This window comes from Homo sapiens, chromosome 1, assembly GCF_000001405.40.
Source record: "Homo sapiens chromosome 1, GRCh38.p14 Primary Assembly".
In the NCBI taxonomy this organism is placed as follows: domain Eukaryota; kingdom Metazoa; phylum Chordata; class Mammalia; order Primates; family Hominidae; genus Homo; species Homo sapiens.
Genome location: NC_000001.11, coordinates 229,811,881 through 229,831,471, shown reverse-complemented (window position 1 = coordinate 229,831,471; position 19,591 = coordinate 229,811,881). Strand labels below are relative to the sequence as shown.

The 19,591-nt window shown below is 42.2% G+C and overlaps 1 long non-coding RNA gene across 1 annotated transcript, besides 1 other annotated feature; it reads left to right on the top strand.

Moving 5' to 3' along the window:
• Positions 1-10,874: 10,874 nt before the first annotated feature.
• LOC107985464 (uncharacterized) lies at positions 10,875-17,405 on the top strand. The gene is made up of 3 exons (XR_001737829.1): positions 10,875-10,981; positions 17,083-17,221; positions 17,307-17,405. It is a non-coding gene; the product is annotated as an uncharacterized LOC107985464 (long non-coding RNA).
• Positions 15,878-16,433: an enhancer, noted in NCBI's record as "OCT4-NANOG hESC enhancer chr1:229950786-229951341 (GRCh37/hg19 assembly coordinates)". NCBI's record gives its function as "activates a minimal SCP1, AML or CMV promoter by ChIP-STARR-seq in naive H9 embryonic stem cells {active_cell/tissue: H9 hESC(naive)}" and the evidence as "EXISTENCE:reporter gene assay evidence [ECO:0000049][PMID:30033119]".
• Positions 17,406-19,591: the final 2,186 nt, after the last annotated feature.

The window sequence follows — 19,591 nt, the reverse complement described above, 5'->3', positions numbered from 1 at the left end:
AAGTGGAGGAAATGACAGGCAGAGAAACAAAGATTTTCATGGGATATCCCAGTGAGGAAAAAGCAGGGAGAACTTCAGGAGCACAGGTGATCATCCAATAGGCTACAGCCAGTGGTTCAAAAAGGGGTGCTGAGCAGTTGGGCCTGTGAGTGAGGTTGGTAACTGAGATGATCAGAGGGTCATTGGTTTCTCCAAATGGTCTGGCTGGGGAAAGGTGGCATAACCAACATTCAGTTAAGTTGCCTGCAGAGGCAAAGGATTGGGATAGTTGTATTAAGGAATCATCTTTCCATCAGTAGGAAGAAATGGCAAGGGTAGTAAAGGAAGGAGAAGGAGAAAGTACAACATTAGGTAAAAGAAGGGTTTATGAGAAGTTCATCAGGCAAGATGTCCCACAGTTTGCAGAAGCTTATGGGCTAAGTCTGGTATCTTGGGAGAAAGTAGACTCCATCAGATGTTGTCTTCTTGTCCTGCCAGCTCTACTTTGATCAACTTAAGTTTGCTATCAGTGACAGGTTGGGAGGTTCACTTAGGAGGAGGATCAGAAGACTTTTTAAAATGATAAATAATAATCCATGAGTCAGTGCTTTGTAATTTAGCAGCACATGAGTCAGTTAAGAGTACCTGATAGAGGCCAGGCATGGTGGCTCACACCAGTAATCCCAGCACGTTGGGAGGCTGAGGTGGGCAGATCACTTGAAGTCAGGAGTCCCAGACCAGGCTGGCCAAAATGCTAAAACCTCATCTTTACTAAAAATACAAAAATTAGCTAGGCATGATGGCAGGCACCTGTAATCCCAGTTACTCGGGAGGCTGAGGCAGGAAAGTCGCTTGAACCTGGGAGATGGAGGTTGCAGTGAGGCGAGATGGCACCACTGCACTCCAGCCTGGGTGGCAGAGCAAGACCCTCAAAAAAAAAAAAAAAGTATCTGATTAAAAAAAAAGCCCAGCCCATTTAAGTCTCAAAAAAAAAAAAAAAAAAAAAGAAAGAAAGAAAAAAAGAGTACCTGGTCCCTTCCAGAAAGGCTGGAGGGAATTCTTAAGCTGATGTCTTTTCCAATACACAAAGTCTCCAGGTCTGAAGTTAAAAGGATGTTCTTCGTCTCCTGGGAGCACACAATTAAAGGAATATTTGACAAAGTTAATACTATGTTGCAGACATTAATGAGCTCCTTGCACTAATGTAGGAGGCCTCCTTTGATGAGTACTGGCTGGTGAAGTATTTCATCTAGGCACATAGGGTGGCTGCTAATAATTTCCAAAGGAGATAATTTATGTTTTTCTGTAGAAGTGGAATGAAAGTTGAGGATGACTAAAAGAAGAGCCTTGGGCCATGGCAGGTTAAAGACTGCACAGATTTTTACCTATTGGATTTTTATTATTCCATTGGCTCGTTCTATTGCTCTGGAGGGCTGGGGATGGTAAGCACAGAAATGTTGATAGACCAAATTTTAGAAACACTTTTAATAATTTGCCCTGTAAAACAAGCTCCTGAGTCACTGTGAAGTTCTCGTGGGACTCCTCAGGTTAGTATAATTTTTTTCTGCTAGGGCCTTAGCTACTGCCATGGCTATGGTCTGATGACAGGGGAAAGCTTCAGGCCAATGTGAAAACATTCAAACCATAGCCAACACATACTGGTACCCTTGTGAGGTAGAAAGTTGAACTGAATCTTGTTGCCATATCTTGAAGGGGCATTTGGTAGTGAAAAGTGGTCCATGGGGGCATGTAATCGTTTTCCAGGATTGTACTGTGGACAGATTTTGCCCAGTTAAGTAGCTGTAATCCCAGATACTCAGGAGGCTGAGGCAGGAGAGTCGCTTGAACCTGGGAGATGGAGGTTGCAGTGAGGCGAGATGGTGCCACGCACTCCAGCCTGGGTGACAGAGCAAGACCCTCAAAAAAAAAAAAAAAAAAAAGAAAAAGAAAAAGAAAAAAAGAGTATCTGATTTTTAAAAAAGCCCAGCCCATTTAGGTCTCGATTAAAAAAAAAAGCCCAGCCCATTTAGGTCTCAAAAAAAAAAAGAGTATCTGCTCCCTTCCAGAAAGGCAAGGTGGGCAATAGTGAGAGAGGGACCCCAACACTATTATTTCCCTCATTAGACCGTTTTTTCCATGTTCCAATGGTTAGGTCATGAATGAAAGTTAAAATATCCTTTTAGAGGCCATTAGGGAGAACAGGGTGGCAATTGGAACCCACCCAGAGGGCTGCAAAAAGTCAAAAGAACAACATTCTTCAAGCAGTTTCCCACTTTTATCCTTCATTGAGATAGCCTGAGATTTAGCCAGCGTTTGGTATAACTGGGGAACTGGAAGTAGGGCAGAAATGGGCAAGCTTCATGTTCTCATCATAAGTGGGAGTTGAACAATGAGAACGCATGGACACAGGAAGGGGAACAACACACACCGGGGCCTGTCGGGGGGTGGGGGACGAGGGGAGGGAGAGCATTAAGACAAATACCTAATGCATGCAGGGCTTAAAACCTACATGATGGGTTAATAGGTGCAGCAAACCACCGTGGCACATGTATACCTAGGTAACAAACCTACACTTCTGTACTTGTATCCTGGAACTTAAAGTAAAATTAAAAAAAAAAGAAAAAGAAAAAGAAATAGGCGAGCTTTTGATTAATAGAATTTATGTTATATTTTGGGACATGGATGACTTGGCAGCGATATCAACCATTTTGTTTCCAAATGTTTCTTTATTTTGGGCAGAGGAATGTCCCTGAACTTTAATAATAGCTAAAGCTCTTGGAGCTTGAATGGCATTGAGGAGTGCCAAGACATGGTCTTTGTTTTTTATTTTCTTTCCAGATGAGGTAAGGAAGCCTCTTTATTTCCAAAGCATGCCAAAATCATGAGCTACTCTCTAAAGGCATGACTACTGTTTACATAAATATTGGCTGTTTTATCTTTAGCTAAAAGACATGCCCTAGTAAAAACATGTAGTTCTGCTTGTTGGACAGATATGGCATCAGGAAAGGGACCAGACTCAATAATCTGGTTAAGAGAGACAACAAGTTTCTAGTTAGGTATTTGCCACTGGGTCCCCTCAGTTATAACCCATCAGTAAACCAGTTATAGTCTGTATTGGGTAAGGGAGCCTCCCAGAGATCTAGCCAAGGGGTGAGAAGTTGATCTGTTCAGGTAGCACAGTCATAGGGAATGTCATCTTTTGGAAGGGGAAATAAGGTGGAAGGATCCAGAAAATTACATCAGGTAAAGTCGGGAGGCTAGCAGGGAGATGTTGAGTGTGATGAGAATTGAGAAGAGCCTTGAGAGAGTAAGGAACATAAACAATGAGAGGAAACCCCATCACTATCTTTCCTGTGGCTTTTACAAGGATAAAAACAGCAGAAGCCATTTTGAGGTGAGAAGGAAGTCCTTGAGGAACATAATCTGTTGAGTATAGCATCCCATGTGTCTATTTTGTCCTCCAAGAGGTTGAGTAAAAACTCCCAGAGCATTCCCTTTGCATTCATGAGTGAACAGATTAAAAGAGAGGTTATAATTAGAGTGTCCTAAGGTTGGGGCCAAGGTAAGTTGAGTTTTTGTATTCTCAAAGGACTCCTGGGCATCAAAAGTCCATTGGATGGAATTGGGAGAGAAACTTTTAAGGAGATTACAGAGAAACTGAGACATTAAGGAAAAATTGAGAAGCCAATTTCAGCAACAGCCTGCAAGTCCCAAGAATCCAGAAAATTGTCTCTTTGGCAAAGGGGAAAGGCCAATATACATTGTAGGCACAAGGGGTCTACCTCTATTGAATTCCTAGGATACCTCCTAACCTCTAAGAGGGGCTTAGGAAATATCCCGTGAATTTGACAGAGGTCTGACAAAATTAGTTTTCTTTGGAGACTTTGTGTCCCTTAGAGGATAGATTGTGTAGTAAGTAGGTAGAGGCTGCCAAGGAGGCAAACCTCTTAGGAAGGGGAACATAAGAACAAATCATCAACATATTGAAAAAAAGAATGAATCATTGACATATTGGAGTAAAGTGGACCCTCACCAAAAAGAAATGGTAGCTAAATTGGCCCTATGGATCTGGGAGAAGTAGGTTGGGCTTGCTGCATACCCTTGGAGAAGGACAACCAAGGTGTATTGTTGGCCTTCTCAAGTTAAGGCAAAAAGGTATTGGCTGTCAGGAGCTATAGGTATACTGGAAAGGACACTACAAAGATTGATAGCTGGAAATTTCAGGGGAAGCATTAGAAAATAGGGCATAGGGATTGAGAACCACGGGTGTTGGGGATTGACTGTGTTACTGATAGCCCAGAGATCCTGAACACATTGCCATCCTGTACTGTTGGGCTTGTGGATGAGTAGGATGGGGGTATTGCAAGGACTGGTGCAGGGACAAATTTTTTTTTTGGTATAAAATCATCCATTATGGGTTGTCTGCCAGCCAGGGCCTCAGGATCTAGGGGATATCGTTTGACACTGGAGAGGGGTTTATTATGGTTAATGTGGATTTTAATTGGAGGTGCTGAATGGCTGTGACCAACATCAGTGTTGGATTGTGCCAAAGGCTATCAGGTAGCTCTTGGAAGGCAAGATGGGTAATGGTGAGGCTAACTGAATAGATGAGTATTTGGGTAAGAGCTGCTTCTGTGGCAAAAATCTCCTGGTGAATATAGTTTAAGCATTATTTCCTCCTTTTGGGAGAATAAAATATGGGCCTGGTAGGCTTCTGAGAAATCCCTTTCCAGGAGGTGTATGGGAGCTGATGGGACAAGCAAAAAGCAATGACTGATAGTGAGAGATCCTAGTTGAAATGGAAAATTGGTAGAGATTTAGGATCTGTCATAGGCTGGTTGGCTACCTTGACCATTTGGATGAATTCAGAACTCTGGGGAGAGGTCATTGAAAGCATGTCGGGGTTAAGGACAAATAGAGTAGAACAGAGTAGCCCCAGTGTCAACCAGAACTCTGACTACTTTATCATCAATTTTAATATCTAGTCCTTCTTGCTGGTTAGTTTTAAGTATGGGAAATATCCCCTGAATGTTCCCAAAGCAGGCCCAAGTAGCTTTATCGGCATTTATCTTTAGCCATTATTTACATCTGGGGTAATCCTTCTTAAAATGTTTAGTGCGTTTGTAGAAAAAGCAGGGTTTTTTAATTTTAATTTTGAGGAGAGGACATTTTGGAGGAATCCCTAATTGTTGTAGCTGAAGGGCCATTAACTTGGTAGTCTTTTCTTGACAATCTAAGGCTCAAGTGGCTGTAGATTCTTTGTCCTTTTCTAAAGTTTTGGATACTTGATTGGCGGAACAGGCTATTTCATGGGGTTGTTTTGCACCTCAATTAAAGTCATGCTGTTTTACTAGGGTATTGAGGACTTCAGAAAGATTGGCCACAAAAAAATGGAATTAAATGAATTGAGCATTTCATTATTTAAGTCTGTGATCTCTAAATTTTGTTGGAAAGTTTGTTCAAATTTAACAAATAATCAAAGACAGGTTTGTCCTTTTTCTATGTACAGTGCTATAAGGCTTTCCAGTTTACTTGGTGGGAAAAAAATTAGGAGAATGGCTTTTAGTAATCTGGCAGGCTGTTTCTGTGCCTTTTAAAATCCTTGAACACAAGCCAGTTTAAAGTCCTCTAGGGGGCTATCCCATTCAGCAGCTAGCACCCATTCTCTACCCAAAACATTTCCCGCAAGTACACGGATGAGTTGATAAAATCCAGGTTTCCAACACATGAGTTGGAAAATCCAGGTTAATAAGTTCTGATGATTAGACTAAAATGTTTGAATTCAAAAGAGTTGGTTTTAGGATTAGGGAAGTCTCTTAGCAGGGCCAGAAATTCTGACTTAGCCCAATTGGTGTATGCATGCATTTTGTTGGTTTCCATTTCCCATTGTTTGGACCTTAAAGGAGGCTATCAAAGAAGGGCTGGAAAAGTCAGCTGTATTGGAGGAAGTGGGAATATCAAGGGAGGAGAAAAAGGGGAGTTCAGAAAGAGTACAAGAAGAAAGGAGGAGTGAAGAACAAAGTGGAGGTGGTGGAAAGTGTGGAAGGCAGGCAGGGTGGCAGGTAAGAGGATGCTAGTGGAAGAAGTGTCTTCCAGAGGTGTTTCAATGGCTTTGGTTTTGATCTCATAGGCACAAGGGTAAGAGGAAAAAGAATCTTACAGTGTGTTGTAGCAAGTTTAGTTTCAGTTTTGAGTACACTAGTCTCTTTTTCTAATTTATTAATTTTATTTAATTATTAATTTTATTTAATTTCTATTTATTAATCTCTAATTTATTAAATTTATTCTAACTTTTCTAATTTATTAAATGGATCTTAATTTGGAATTGTCTTCTCTAAGAGAGGCAATAGTAGCCTCTCGGTTTCATGTAGAACTTTCAAAGTACCAATTAAAGAAAGCCTCGTGTTGTCTCTGGGAGGTTATGTGTTTTCTTTGTTCCAATTATGTGTGCAGATAGATACATTTCAAAATTTAGAAGGAGCCCCACTTTGGCCAGCAAAGTTTAAGACTATCCTGGGTGATTTTTGTCCAGAGGCTCAACCAATTTGGTTCAACTTTCTGGACCATAATTTTTGCTTATGAAACCAGCTGGAGTGCCAAAGGTGGCTGATCATCAGAGGAAGACAGAACATGAGTTACTCATTGCACATACCTATTGAAGGCATCTCTTCTGGTGCAATTTAAGTGTGAGTGTCCTCACAAAACATTATGGATTGGGTCTATAAACCAAATAAAAGGGTTCCCTCCCTAAAGTGAGATAAAGTCCCCAAGACCTCAACCAGAAGGCATGGGAGGTCTGGATCCAAGAGGACTTACCTGAGATCTCCTGGTGCCACCAGGAAGACAACTGAGTTCAAGGGGCTCTTACAGGTACCAATGCATGGGTTCAGAATGGCATCGATAGGAGGATCAAGGATTGCTTCAGTTCCCTCTTCTGACACCAAGAAATGTTAACAAAACTACTGAGAAAGAAATATTAGGTTGAGAAAGACTTTATTTCCATGAACAGCTTGCAAATTGGGGAGATGTAACCTATAACAAAACAAAGGTACACTCTGTCAGAACAAAGAGAGGGGTTGTCCTTTATTAAAAAAAAAAAAAGTTTCTTCCCAGGTTCCCACTCCAGTCTTCTATGCAAATGAAGAATGCAAGCTTGCCTAATTCTCATTGGTTGATGTTAAAATCATCACTAGATAGCCAGGCACATTGGCATATGCCTGTAGTTCCAGCTACTTTGGCGACTGAGGCAAGAGAATTGCTTGAGTCCAGGAGTTCAAATCCAGCCTGCATAATGTAGTGAAATCCTGTCTCAATTTGTTTAAATAAATAAATAAGATTGGCCATAGGTCACAGTCTATTGGTTAGGTCCAAGTGCTGGCAGTCATTGATTCAGGCAGCATAAACAGTAAGACAGATATGAGAGTCTCAAAGTTATGTGAGCAGGTGTTTTTTCCAGAACACGAAGTATGTGTGTGACCTCTAGACAGTGAATGGCACCTTGACCTCATTTTGAATTTAGGCCCAGTTAGCCAGTCATGATCCTTCTTGAAGGATTGGCTCTTTCAGGGTTCACAGGTTGGAAAGAGTAGAATCAGAAGAAAGCAGAGCAGGCAGGCTGATTGCAAGTGAGAAGCTAAGTGGCCTGATGCACCCTGTGTAGCTCCGACAACAACCAGTTCTCCAACACCAACTGGCTGCCCTACATTTCAGTTCAGTTCTGGCACTAACTCCCTGGAGTTAGTGCAGACCCCACAGGTGAAGGTCTCAGTCCCACCAAGCTTTCACTTTTTATGCCTATAGAAAATCCCATGAACCACCCACACTTCTGCCCAATGGGTTATAAAATTGGAAGTTCCTACAACCCCACATCACATTTGATAATTTGTTAGAATGAACGCTGAACTCAGGATTTTGTTTAAAAGAATATGTCTCAGAAACAGCCAAATGGAAGAGATGCACAAGGCAGGTATGGTGGATGAGGGTAAGGGTGCAGAGTTTCCATACCCTCTCCTTGTGGAATCTGGGCATACACCACCTCCTAGCACATCTATGTGTTCACCAACACAGAGCTCTCTTAGCCTCATTGTTTCACTGTTTCTATCAAAATTTTATTACATCAATTAAATCACAGGCCACAGGACTGAACGTAACCCATCACCTCCTCCCAGGAGGTCAGGGAGTGGAGCTGAAAGTTCCCACCCTCAAATCACATGATGAGTTCCCCTGGCCACCTGTCCTCACCCTGAAGCTGTCAAGAAGCCCACCAAGAGTCACCTTATTAGCATAAACTCAGGCATGGTCAAAGGGACTCCTTATGAGTAATAAAAGATACTCCTATCATTAGGGAAATTCTAAGGGTTTGTGTCAAGAACTATGGACAAAGACCAAACATATTTTTTATTATACTACACACCTGCAACACTATGGGGAGAGATCTGCTAAGGTCATCCTCTGCTAACATAGCACTGAAAAAGCATTCACATTTCTTGCTCTTTGACTCTTCTCTTATTCGGTTACCATATTGCACATCCTAATCTTTATGAGATTTAGTAAATCTCCACAATGGAAGCTTGGAAACAAGGCTAATGTTGCACATCTCCGAAGAGCCTATAGCATGCAATAAACACAAAGACTACACCCTGTGGCACACGGAGACCTTCCAAATGGGAGACACCTTAGCCTCAGCAACAACACTCTTAGAATAGGGTAATTTTCTGCGGCTGGATGATGCCCTTCATATCCCCCTTCCTCTCAAATCCTAGGAGTGTATGCTGTTTAGAGCCAGCATCTCCCTAACCCCATGCTGACTTCCTGAAGACAAAAATTTTCCATATTGCAACATTATTTATAACTGAAAATTGGAAAACAAGCACAAGGTTAAAGAAGCAATGGTGAAATACCAAATAAAATATTTTTCAGCCACTCAGTTTCACTTTTAATGACATGGGAAAGTGTTCATAATACACTAAGAGGTCATATGTGTACAAAAAAAGTTGCAAAGAAATGCATTAGGATGTTAACAGCTGTAATCTCTGGGGCAAAGGAGTAAGAGTTGATTCTTGTTTTCTACTTTATGCTCTACCTTTTTCCTACAATAATCATTCAACAGTTTTTATAGCCAGAACAAAATGTAACATTATTTTCTTATGAAAAGCCAATACAAATAGAAATGTTTCTTATTTGTTCCTTGCATAGGCCTGCCGACATGATTTTATCTCTAGTGTATGAGCTTCTGGCTTCTTTCCTGAGCCCCTATCTCCGCTGTCTCAAGTGAATGCCCATTTCTGAGTCATGCTCCACCTACAGAACTGCCTCCAACCTCAGAGGGAGCATGACATTGTACTGTACTCATTCCCATCCATCCCCAACCACATCCATACTACCAATTGGCAAAACTTCCTCAGATTCTATTTCCACGAAATTCTGCCACACCAAGGAACACCGGAGGATGTTAAACATTTAGGGAGTTAAATAGGTTGGTCAATAGAAATTCATTGCATTTTCATCATAGATCCAGAGTACTTATATGACTAGACCATCAAATGTCATCAGAAGGCAGCCCACCCACTGATAAGTAACATCTTGGTAGGATGAAAAGCAATAAAAAAAAAACATTTCCAAGAAGGCCTTATTTTCACAAGCAATTTTCCTTCTTAATCAATTCAAGAGCATGTTCGACAAGCACTTACTGAACATCTATCATGTGCCAGGCCCTGGGGGTGGAAAGAGATAATTCCATTCAATATAATGATATACATAGTAAGCACCAAATAAATATGCATTGAATAAATACAAGAAGTAAAAAAATAAATTTACTGAAACCCATCTAAATATCCAGAGGGGGAAAAAGACTAAATCTTGCGCCTCCTCATTATCTGATAACCTAAACCTTACACAAAATATTCAATGAATGGGATCCCATGGCTCCTGCTGCTGTAGTCTCATGACTCCACTCTGGCTCTCTGGCCAGGCCCACTTCTGTTTGGGGAATTTTTCTTTCCAGGCTTCCCTCTTCTAGCTAACTCTTACCCATGCACCAAATTTCAGAGGAAGACCCAATGCTTCTGAATCAAAGTGACTTCTCAGGGTCCTCATCAAGATCATACATCTTGAGACAGCCTTTTAAATATCTGATGACAGTATGTTCTCCTGAGCCTTCATTGCTCCAAGTCAGTGGTTCTCAGATGTAGGTTGGGTGGGTCCTTTGCCCATGCAGAGGACATTCAGTAATGTAGGAGATATTTGGGGCTGTCACAACTGTGGGAGAGTGTGCTGCTGGCATCGAGTGGTTAGAGCCCAGGGGTGTTACTAAACATCCTAAAATGCACAGGACAGGGCTTTCACTGACAAAAAACAACCCAGCCCCAAATGTCAACATGCCAGTTTCGAGAGACCCTGTTCTAGGTAAAACATCCCCAGATGCTTTACAGTTACATGGATGACATTGTTTGGTTCTCCCTTGCCATAGCCTGTGAATTCACTCTACTTACTTAAAATTTTCTTAAAATAAGAAGCCCAGAGCTGATATTGTCCCAGGGACAATGTAACAAGTATTGTGCTTAAGGCCAATGGCTTGGGCACTAGAGTCAGGCCCAAGTTCATCCTGGGCTCTGTCCATCAGTAGTTGTGGGACCCTTGGGCCAGACACTTCATCTTTCCAAGCCTCAGTTTTCTTATCTTTAAAATAGTTATACACAGTGATAAAAGTATAAATAATACTCACATCTTTGAAGGTGTTGGGAAGATTAATGAAACAATCGATGTAATACACTTCATCCAAGTGCATGCTCATTGCAAGAGCTCAGTACATGTTAGCCTGTAATAATAATGCTATAATTTTCTTTAAGATTTTAAAATTTTCTTTTAGGGGTTAGTTGCTTCTAAGCCAGCTATCTCGATGAGAGTTTGAAGATCTACATTGAAATCTTTTACCTAAGAAACTTAGTCCTTACCCATAAACCCAGGAGAAGAGGGGGAGCACGCATCAGAGCTAGTAAATATAGTAAGTACCAAATGTGGGTATTTGTTAAAAACATACACATACACACAACACTAATGGGATTCTCTTTTTTGTTGTAGTTTTAAATTTAAGCTGGAATTTCAATCAAATTTTTGTATGGAGTAACTTGCTTATAGTTAGAGTGCTTTTGCCCAGTCAGCTTGGGCCCAATGTCCACACCTCAAATTGAAGTACTCTGACACCAGTGCTGCCGAGTGGAGAGCTTTGTCTGCAGCATCTTCTGCTCAGCCAGGTTTGTCTTGGTGGCATCTGCCTGGCAAGCATTGGAATGTTAAAGCTTTCAAGCCCATATCTGTGCCTCTCATGAAACACATTTCTGTTCTTCTCTACTTATTCATGCAACAAATATTCATTGAGTATCTATTATGCACCATGGATGGTCTATATCACAGCTTCATTTCCTACCCTGCCATCTACTCCATGAGGTGAGTTGCACCTGTAAAGCTTTTAGTCCATCCACAGCACTGCTGAATAGAAACTCATTTCTATTCAGAGAGAAGCCCAGAGAGAAGAGGTAAACAAGAAAAGATAAAGAATATCCTTTGCTACTGTCAACCTAAATAACAGAGAGAGGCTCTCTCAAAGAAAAGGATGTTTATTCAGGAATAGGGCATTGCAATGGGAATACGTGTGCTATAGTAAACTATGTATGTAGTCAGGGAGGTAAAGGGAGACAAAGGTTTTCAAAGGAAAAAAATGGGATTACATAATTATTCTGACATAATTATCCTTGGCTACAAAGATTAATAAGAAGGGTGATACCAATTGAGGTTGGACAAGCAGTTGCTTGGCAGATGTCCTTGTGGAAGTATTCTTTTGTGTAAGGTTGTGAAGACCTTTGTACAAAGTATGGTTTTGGCAAAATTTTTGTGATAGTTTTTGTTGTTAGGTATACAAGTGTGAGAATCCTCTCTTTATAGCCTTCCCTGGCTCTATTTGTCAGTATTTTTTTAAATATTAGTGACCCCATTTTGATTCTGACAACTTTCACACTACAACAACCATTGAGATATATAAAGATATAGATTATATATATATGACAAATATATATACTGATTTACAACTTACAAAACACTTTTACATCCATTATCTCATTCAATCTATTTCCTGGATTTCTCTTTTGGCCACCTGGAGAGGGGAAGCCATTGTTACTACGTTCATGATGACTCATAAGCAATAATAGCAACAACCACTCTGTTCATAGAGTCAGTAGCATTGTAGCTGAACTAGTGAGGAAAATTTCAAGGGTGGGAATTGATGCAAACAAACTGCCAAATTGGGGCTTAGCCCAGGAGGGTTCTTGGCTTCACTTAGGAAAGAATTCAAGAGTGAGCAGACAGTGAAGAAAACAAATTTATTAGAGAAATAATGTACAGCAAAATGACAGCTCCATAGAAAGAACAGGGCTACCCCACAGGCACAGTGGCCCAGAGTGGCACTCATGGATTGCTGGCTAGCTGTATTTATACCCGCTCTTATTTGTATGCTAAATAAGGGGTGCATTATTCACAAACTTTCTGGAAAATGGGCGGGGAGCTCCCAAAACCTATAAGGTAACTTTCAGATCATTGTGACAGCATTTGTTAACTGTCTTGGTGCTGGTGGGGGTACTTTATGTAAATGTATTATAATTAGTATACAATGAGCAATGAGGGCAGCTAGAAGTTGCTTTTGACACCAGAAAAAGCAAGCCTGGCTGATGGAGGTGTGGTACAATAAGAAGAATATTTGGGTTTTGCCCCTGGCTCCTGGCACAGAGCTCCTAAAACCCTTGGAATTTCCTGAGGATAGGAGCCCCTTTCATATCACATCTGAGTTTATGGTGGTGAGGGGACTTAGGAAGGGGTCCCTAGAAAGCCTCAGGATGGGGCTAGTCACCAAAAAGACCAGGCAATTAGGGAGTTGGAACTTTCAACCCTACCTTCTGACCTCTGGGAAGGCTGGTGGTAGAGTGGGAAATTGGGGGAGGTTGAGCTCTACAAAAACTTTGAACACCGAGGTTTGATGAGCTTCCTGGCTGGTGAAGCATCCATGTGCCAGGAGGATGGTGCACCCCAACTCCACAACAACAGAAGCTCCTGTGTTTGGGACCTTTCTGAACCTCTCTTATAGATGTAATGTTGTAGAAGCCAGAGGAAAACCTCTCCTTTGCCTTCTAAAGGTTCACTGAAAAATCAACTGGGAAAAAGTAGATGAACAAGAGAAAAGACATACACAATTTTATTTTAATGTGCATAGCACATAAGAAGGATTGCCCAAGAACCTGGAGTGGTACAGAAGCTCATATACCCTTTTTCATAGGGAGGAGGAGGTAGGATAGGTAGACAATTCTTTTGCAGGGCAGTAAATCATTAGGGCTGGCAGGAGGCAAACCCCAGAGGAAGGTGGGGGTGGAGCTGCACAGAGACAAAAGTTGTTTGATTTTGCAGATAAAGTTCCCAGGTAATTTCTTCAAGTTGCGCTCAGAAGAATTGACAAAAATTTGTCTGGGCATGGTGATGACTCCCAGTCTTCTCTTCTCCAGTGGTTGATAGTTCCTAGTTATTTAATGGAATACCAGGTTGACAAAATAATCTGTACAACAAACCCCCATGACACAAGTTTATCTCTGTAACAAACTTGCACAGGTACCCCTGAACTTAAAATAAAAGTTAAGTTAAAAAAGAAATTCTAGGAAGGGAGTTTAAGACACTGTTTCTTTTAGAAAGAAGCTCTCTTGGTCAGATAAGGAAATTCGAAAGAGAGTCCCCTGCTTACGCCTGGAGGTGGAGATGGGAAACAAGACATGGTTAGAGGAACTTTGATTCTAGGGCAGCTTTTAAAACTGCTCAGCATGTCAAAGTGCCAGTTTTTGAGGGTATCAATTTCTGAGCCCCAAAAATATCTTTTACAATAAATCTGTAAGTGTAAGGAAAGTGTGTTAACTGAAAAATCACAGAATTGTAATTTTGGAAAGGAGACTTTATTTCTTATAAAGGGTACACCCTGCAAGGTGACCATCTTGCAGGCTGGGAAATGTAGCCTGCAGCAAAGACCAGAGACAGGCACTTCAAAGGAGGGAGAGGTAAGACAGGAATTTAAGTGGAACAGGTTAGTCAAACACACATGTTCAGCAGGTTACAGGAGAAACTATGAATGTTCATGAAGGTGGTCCTTATTTGCAGAGGAAGCCTTCAGGTAGTAGGCTTTAGAGAAAATAGGTTGTAAAATATTTCTTATCAGACTTAAAGTCTGTGTTGATTTTAATGCTGGAGAGGTATAATGAGGCAGGTCCGATCCCCACTTCCCATCATGGCCTGAACCAGTCTTTCAGGTTAACATTTAAGAGTGCCCTGGCTGAGGAGGAAGTCCATTTAGATGGTTAGGGGGCCTTAGAATTTTATTTTTAGTTTACAATGTTAAGTCTCCACCCCAAAGTGAACATGGGTTGTATGTTACATACCTGTTTGTTTAATATGCATTTGTCAGGGCACCCAGCTGGTTGTTGGAGAATTGGTCAGGGTTCAGAAAAAACCCACACATCTGGTATCAAAAGTGCTCTGGGTGAGAGTGTTTGGAAAGTGTATGTTTTCCCAGAGTGGGAAGAGGAGAGAAGGAACCTCTTCCAGCCACCATGAGCAATGGCTCATTATTAGGAAGCTGAACTCCCTTTTTTAGGAGGAGTCTTGGGTGGAAGGGGGGATGGAGGGAGTGGAGAGGGATCTTCCTCACCATCTGCATCTTCTTTGTCCACTGATAGTCTTTCCATTTTGCTCCTTCCAGTTCCTGCCCCACCCCTAAAAACCCACCACGCTGACAGTACACCTAACTAGGATCCTTCTCTGCAATGGTGTTTGTTATCTCTTCCCGAGACACTATTGAAATGTTCTGAAGAAACAGTATGTTAAGGAATGGGACAGTGTGCTCAGAGAGTGGCCCCACAGAAGCAGAAACATAACGTGCACATGTGCAAAGCCTGGAGCATTTAGAAAGAGAGGGATCCAGAAATGGCTCAGAGGCCCCCAGCAAGGTCACCAGCAGGTGCTATTGTTGCTGCTGCAAGACGCTAAGAAAATAGAGGGGTGTCAAGCATGTGGAGGGAGAGGGGGCTGTAATGAACATCCTGGAAACACTTTGCTAATGTCTTCAGGCAGCTAACTTAATGAGGCAGAGCCCAGCCAGAACCTTGTCAGCTGAGCCTTTCAGAATACCCCAGGACCCTGGAACCAACCCATGAGAAAAGGAAGCAAATTCCAAGAGAGCTGGATTTATCATGTCATCATGCACATAAGCCATTATTCTAATTGGGACATGGCCACTTAAAAAGCACTATTTCTTTGAGAATCACAAGGGGGTGGGGAAGGGTGGAATGTGGGAGTCATATGTAAGTTACAAAAGCGACCATCACTTACTGGGTTCTCACTATGTATGAGGCCTTGTGCCATCCTCACTAGAATCCTGAAACTGGTGCTATTAATGACCTTATTATACAAAAGTGAAAACCGGGCTGAGAGAGAACAGGCAGGAGTTCCTTGAAAGTTACACCCTGGTGAGAGCAGATACAGAATTCAAACCTGTGAAAATAAGTAATTCAAAATCAAGCTGTTGGAATTTTAAATTATTTTGAGTCTTAAAGGAATGCGGTGATGAGACCTGAGTCACATGACAGGCAGCTATAACCCAGGCAGCTGTAGCTTTTTTCCTCTGTCATAGATTAGCCCTTTATTTGTCTACATTGTTTTGTAAAATATTGTAATAGACCAAAAGGTTCCAGAGAAGACCCCTTCCCTCTTCACTGTTGATTTTCATCATAGATCAATTATATATATATATATAAGTGGGAAAGGAAAATAAAGCAAGCTGTAACTAATTAGATTGCTGTAACTCATAAACCAACCTTCTACGGAAAACGTTTCAATCCTGTTAAATTTATTTGCTTTCTGCCTATACAAGCAAGACCTTAGCCTTTCAACTTCAGAGCTCTGACCCGTTCCTTTGGAGTCTACGTTACCTGGTGGCTAGTCTATGTTACCCGATGGCTTGCATTTGAATACTCTTTAGAACTAAATTCTGATCCTTTCAATTATTTTGGGTTTGACAAGCCCATGCTCATGGGATCCTCAATCCAGTCCTGCAATCTCTTTCCATACACTGATTCATGGCTTAGCAGATCACTCTTAATGACCTGCACAGCTGGATACTGGAATCAGGCCTTTAGAAAGAAAACAAGCCTCTTTAAGGACAACCATGGGGGAAGGATCGCATGTGAGAGGAACCAGCCCTGTTCTGAGGGAGGGCGAGCTTGCTGGAAGTGTCCACCTCGCAGGCAGGTACCTTCTACTTCTCTATTTACCCACTTTGTGTTGAATAGCCTAGACCCAAAGATAGTCAGAGAATCTAGCCCAACTTTCTTTCCCCTCTTTAGATGAAATAGCACAGGAATGGCTAATTTTTAAAAACCCTAGAAATAAAAGGCTGATTGGACCACTGTTAAGTGGCAAGTTTCACTTGAGGCACCTAGATACAATAGGTATCAGATGATAAGGTGAATTCTGAGTCCCAGTAGAAATTGCAAATTTGAAAAGTAAGAGTGAAAATCTGTTAGAGGACTGTGGTCCACATTCATAACCACATTTTATCATTATAAAAAGGTAGAAAATGGTGTTTTTAGAGATCCTCTCTCTCCTAAGGACAATGGATTTGGGTGATTTTTCTCAAGTTCTAAAGCATGGTAGGAATTTCAAAGGAACAACAGGGAGAGTGAAATGTCTCATCTACAGTTAGTGAGAAAATGGGGCCTGGAGTCCACCTCCACCTGGGAGGTGCTGAGGGTGGAACCAGGTTGGCCAGCTGCAGAAAAAGAAACAGCGTTTGCTCCTCAGCTGGGGACAGCTGGCGCCATGCAAGTTTGAGGGGTGTCAAGCACTGCAGACATGGACCAGGACAGAGGGAGCAAGTCACTGCAGGCCCAAGAGGACTGCTTAGCCCCCACAAAAGAGTTCTCCCACAGAGAAGAGGGCCGGAGAAAAGCTGAGTTTGACAAGGGAAGTGCCAGACAGGAAAAACAAAACAAAACAAAAAACCATCTGTTTCTTCCTTCACAGGAAAAAGTCAAACATTCCTCATCAAGGCCTCGGAAGAAACCAAAGAAACCAAAAAAACACCAAGGGAGAAAATGTCCACTGAAACACGTGCCTGCCTGGGTGTGAGGATATCCTATGACAGTCACTGTCGCTCAGGCAGGTGAGACCTCTTGGCCCTCCCCACCCTACCACACAACCCTGGGGCAGTGCAGAAAAAGCCCTCACAGCCCCTTTCTCACTCTAAGCTGCCAGGCTGTTGCAGGACCCAGGTGGAAGAGAGAGGGAGGAGCTACGCCTTTGACTGAATTTGGAACCTTTCATTATTACAATTTCTGAATTGAGACTGTGTCTGTAGCTAAAAATGAGACAACATGATTTTTTTAAATCCAATAATTAGCAGAGAATTTATGGGACACTCCAAGTTTTTATCCAGGAGAAGAACTTCCACCACTGAATACATTTAAAAAGACAGTGGCATACAAAGGTAAAGATGTCTCCTGGCCGGGCGCAGTAGCTCATGCCTGTAATCCCAGCACTTTGGGAGGCCGAGGCAGGTGGATCACCTGAGGTCAGGAGTTTGATACTGGCCTGGCCAACATGGTGAAACCCCATCTAACACATGGGGAAACTATCTCTTATTCAGACTCTCTGAGAGGAAGGTGCTAGGTTATTCCCATACAACAGAGAGGGAAGCTGAGACTCCATAGGTGACCATCCAAAGAAGTCAGTCACATCTTCAGGAAGCAACTGTGGAGAAAGCAACTAAAAGCAACTTGCTTTTCCACAAGGCCCAGGTGGCAACCATCAAATGTGGCACTAACCAGGGTAGGGAGGGATGGCTTTACCCAATATAGAGCAGCTGTCTGAGAGTCAGTGGATTCTGTGACCACTGCAGGTCAGCCCACTCCTCTGGTTATAGAGGAGAGCAAGCTGGGCCAATCCAACCCACCAGACTGATCCTTGAGTCCAGCCCAGCTTTCCCACAGGTCAGTAAACCAGACACTTCATGGGCCACTAAGGCCATCCATAGTTCCTCCACCCAGCCTGTGCCACTACATGGAGGTCAGAGCAGACTCCAAGGTGTGGCCGGCTCACCAGATCCTGAGCCCAGGTGTCCAGCTCTTCAACTCAGCAGAGCAGCATTTTATTTTTATTTTTTAATTTAATTTTTTGTTTTGTTTATAATTGAGACATGTTAATTGTACATGCTTATGAGGTACAGCGTGATGTTCCAATTCATGTCTACATTATATAATGATCAGATCAGGGCAGTGAGCATGTCCCTCTCAACAGAGCAACTTTCCGCAAAGCTCTCCTCTCTCCATGGCTGTGTAAACAGAAAAGCAAAGAATAGGGAGGGACAGAGGGTAGAACATTGACTTCAGACTTCCAGTCCACAGCTCTGCTCTCCAAATACCGCCAAAGTGGAAGCTAGAAATACCTCATTATTAGGAAGCTAAACTCCTTATTTTTAAATAAAAACTTATTTATTTATCTATTTATTTATTTATTTATTTATTTATTTATTTATTTATTTGAGACTGGGTATCGCTATGTCGCCCAGGCTGGACTCAAACTCTTGGCCTCAAAAGATCCTTTATTAGCTGGGACTATAGGTGTGCCTGTGCCCAGCTGGAAACTAAACTCCTTCTAAGAAAGCACCAAGCCCAAGTCAGGCTCAATGCTGCCGTTGGGTTTGCCCCTCAGGACTATGAAATCCTGAACTAGAAGTGGGCTCCCTGCAGCAACTGGGGATTTGAGGGAAGAAGAGTAGAGATTTCTAGAGTTTTCTGTGGCTTGCAGAAAGTGTGGCTGGTGGAGGGGAAGTAACAATTCTCTGGAAACCTTGAAACAGAGAATTTATGAAGTTGCTCATCAGACGGTGCTGCAGTTTAGTCTTGTAATTTATGGAAAGAGGTAGGACCAAGAATCAATTCCTTCTTTTCCCTCTCTTCCTTCCTTCCCTTCCCTTTCTTTCTTTCCTTCCTTCCTTCCTTCCTTACTTCCTCCCTCCCTCCCTCCCTCCTTCCTTCCTTTCTTCCTTCCTTCTTGTTTCTTTCTTTCTTTTCTTTCTCTTTCTTTCTTTTTCTTTCTTTCCTTCTTTCTTTCTTCTTCTTTTTCCTTCTCTCTCTCTCCTTCCCCCTTCCCTTCCCTCCCCTCCCCTGCCCTCCCTTCCCTCCCCTTCTCCTTCCTTCCTTCCCTTCTTTCTCTTTCTTTCTTTCTTTCTTTCTTTTTTTCCTTCTTTCTTTCTTTCTTTATTTCTTTTTCTTTCTTTTTCAGACAGTCTCACTCTGTCACCCAGGCTGGAGAGCAATGACATGATCATGCTCACTGCAGCCTCGAACTCCTGGGCTCAAGCAATCCTCCCACCTCAACCTCCCAAGTAGCTGGTACTAGAGACAAGCACCACCACATTTTGCTAATTTTTTGTTTTTGTAGAGACAAGGTCTCTCTATGTTCCCCAGGCTGATCTCAAAGTCCTGGCCTCAAGTGATCCCCCTGCCTTAGCCTCCCAAAGTATTGGGATTAC